This window comes from Homo sapiens, chromosome 8 (genome assembly GCF_000001405.40).
Source record: "Homo sapiens chromosome 8, GRCh38.p14 Primary Assembly".
In the NCBI taxonomy this organism is placed as follows: domain Eukaryota; kingdom Metazoa; phylum Chordata; class Mammalia; order Primates; family Hominidae; genus Homo; species Homo sapiens.
Genome location: NC_000008.11, coordinates 31,409,922 through 31,413,430, shown reverse-complemented (window position 1 = coordinate 31,413,430; position 3,509 = coordinate 31,409,922). Strand labels below are relative to the sequence as shown.

The window sequence follows — 3,509 nt, the reverse complement described above, 5'->3', positions numbered from 1 at the left end:
AAAAAAAAAGGTTTCCATAGAAAAGAAGGTCATTTTATATTCATGAAAGGCAAAATCTACATAAAATTTATAATAGCCATGAAACTTTATGTTTCATATAAAAGCATCAAATTATGTAAAACAAAAAATAGGATTGCTATGAGAGATTGTAAAACATCTCTTTCCACATTTTATAGATCTATTAGCAGAAAAAGACAAATGGAGATAGAACTAGGAGGTGGAATAAATTTGGTAGTATGATCACAGATGTGTCCATCCATTCCTCTTCAAATCCACGCAAATAACAAGAAAAATAATTTTTAAAAAATGTACTGCCATGCTGAAAAATAGCGCCAATCAGTGCACCAGAAATTTTAAATAATCTTGGAAAATCATACATCACTAAGAGGAGAGTGATGGGGAAAAAACGGAAGAGAAACTTTAGCCTAAAACAACTAAGAAAAATAATAAAAACAACTATTGAAGTAAAAGCAATTCTAAGTACTTCAAGTTCAGTTATTAAGGTTAAGAGATACAAAATAAGGAAAGGCTATTGGTCAAACAAGAAGATGACTAATTAAAGAAACTGTGTCACCAAAGGCTGTGTAGACAGCCCCCTTCCTTCCTATCTGATTCTTACAGTGAGCAGCAGATAAAGAAGGCTTCTGCCCTACGATAAACTCCAAGAACTTTTAATACACTTACAGGAAAGATCTGCTTGAGACCATTTCCTAGCACTGTGGTTAGCAATCTTGGTTGTAAATTAAAATCAACTAGAAAATTTAGAAAAATGCCAGCATCCAAGCTGCTCCCCAGACGAAATAAATTAAGATCTCAGGGTGGGGGTGGGGATGGGGGTAAGACCAAGGCTTCAGTAGTTTCTCAAGCTTCCCAGGTGATTGCAATGAGCAAACAAGGTTTAGAGCCACAGGCTTTGTAGAAATGTTGGGGCTGAAAACAGAAGAGCAAAGACCAAAGTACTGCTAAACTTCGAAGTGGACAACAAAGGAAGAAAAACGTTGAAAGGGAACAGAGGTTCTGGCTTTAGCCCCTAAGTAAAAGCAGGGAGCACAGCTCTCAGAAATGGAAGATTTGAGCCCTAGAACTTGGGGTTGACTCTTGTGTAAGAAAAGCCTGTCAATGAGAACAATTCCAGCTACCACCATCAGTCACAATCCCCAAGAGTGACTTACGCCCGGAAGATTATGGTCTCACACAACCTACTCGGCAACAATCCCCACCTCCCCCTAGACCCCCTGAGACAGGGTTCTGTACTCAGACCACCAAGAGGCAAAAGGAGACTCTCAAATAAAAATATGGGCAACCAAACAAGAATCACACAACATTTGAGGAAAATTAATATCCACAAAAGACAGGAGCCAAATTCAACAAATAGAAGACAAAGGAAAATAAAGTTTTAAAATAAGGCAGTTAATACCCTCAGAGAAATAAGAAAAGCCTTCTATAAAAATATAACAAAAGAGATCTTAGAAATTAAACATATGGTCATATTTAAAAACTCAACTGGTAGGCTGAAGGGGAAAATGGAGCTATTAAAATCAAATTGAACTAAAGAATTCTTCATAAAACATTAAAAATCACAAAAAGAGGTGGAAAATATGAGATAAACCTTCAGTTGCATAAAAAACAGATCCACAAGTTCTACAATAGCAGAGAGGAAATAAATATAATACACACAGATATAAAATTTTATGTGTGTGTTCATGTGTGTATCTATGTGTATGATGTGTATTATATTTACACACAGAATTATATATGTGTATTATGTTTATAGAAAGATCTCTGTGTGTGTGTGTGTGTGTGTGTGTGTGTGTGTGTTTGGGTATACACACAGAAAAGTTTCCAGAACTGAAAAAAAGACCCACATCTTCAGAATTAAATGCTTACTAAGTATCAAATGGTAGGAAAGAACAAGACTGCTCTCTTTTAAAAAGTTGGTGCAGCTCAGAACTACACAGATAAACAAGAGAACCTAAAAGTTTCTAGGGAAAAATTTCAAGGCTACCGAAGGAAATAGTCTTATCTTGACTTGTCACTAGCAACAGTGAAACTGCTGAGGCCAAGGAGCAGTATCTTCAAGTTCTGAAGAAATAATATCCTAATAGGTAGTGACATACAATAAACAATAAACATATATGAGTAAAGTATATAGTATGTGAATAGACAACAAGTAGCAGAGAAATAAGAAAAAAAATAGAGCAAGGGAAGGGAAATTTGGAAAAGCAGGGAGGTAAAATGGAAGGCAGGTTGCAGTATCAGAAAGGGTGGTCAAGGAAGGACTCATTGAGAAGCAAGGTTTGGGCAGACATTTGAAGGAAGTGTGAGAGAATATTGAAGAGACATACAAGGAAAAGAATTCCAAAGAGTGTATATATGTGTATATGTGTGTGTATATATATGTGTGTGTATTAATGCGCATTAAAAGAAAAATAATAGCAGAGAACAATGGTGAGTTTGAGGATCTGGGGGCTGATCAAAGAAAAGACAGAAAGATAGAACAAGAAGGCAATATTGCACAACGCAAGCTTTATTGGACAGGATTGCAGAAAAGGGAAAGTCCTCACAGCAGAAGACGTCCCAGAGACACCCAGAAGAAGAGGGCAAGGGAAATTCCAGGGGAGACGGGGATCGGTGAGGGGGCACATGTGTCCAGGTGGTATTGCCCAGAAGCAATACAGGGAGTCTCTGGCTCAGAGAGCTCAAAAGGGCTGCAGCAGTTTGGGGTCTTCTACAGCTACAAGGTTTGTCTTCTCTGTGGCTAGCAGATGTTAAATGCAATTGTGTAGAGGATGCAAAGCAGGTGAGCTGTAAGTGGCTGAAAATATGCTTATTTGGGCTACCTTTAAGCAATTGGCTGTGAAAGAATTTGCGTTTGGCCCTGGCAGGTTCTGAGCTAACCATCCTACTGTGCTGTGAATAAGCAAACAATGTAGGGGCCAATAAACAGGGGCCATTTTTCACTCATTTCTATGACAAATATTCCTTTCAAAGTCTTAAGTTATGAAAATTAAAGCATCTGATACTACCCAGTAATCTAGAACCAAACAAAATGGACTGTATTCATACGTGTTATATAAATCCATTATCATAGGAAAGAAACACTATACCTCAAAACAGCTTTTTTTATTCCTGTAATAATTTTATACATGTCCATATATTAGTTTGTATCACTCTGCATTTTAACTACAGTATTGGTTGATATGTCTTTATTTCCTACTATACTGTTAACACTTTAAAAACAGCAACTTTTTCTGGCTCTTCTTAGTGCCCCAAGAACCTAGAATGAGTTTCCGGTACATAATGGACACCCAATTAATATTTCTTAAGGGTGAATGAAGGAAAATAAAGAATAGAATTATATGATACCCTCAAGTCCTGACTTGACCACTACACAATCTATGCATGTAACAAAATTGCATTTGTACCCCATACATTTAAACAAATTTTTTAAATGAATAGAATTATAACATCTCTCCAAGTCCACAAAGAAATCAAGAATAATTCTATGT

The 3,509-nt window shown here is 36.6% G+C and overlaps 1 annotated feature.

Annotated features, from left to right (window-relative positions):
- Positions 1,911-2,111: a silencer, noted in NCBI's record as "peak6984 fragment used in MPRA reporter construct". NCBI's record gives its function as "represses an SCP1 promoter by STARR-seq MPRAs in K562 erythroleukemia cells {active_cell/tissue: K562}" and the evidence as "EXISTENCE:reporter gene assay evidence [ECO:0000049][PMID:32103011]".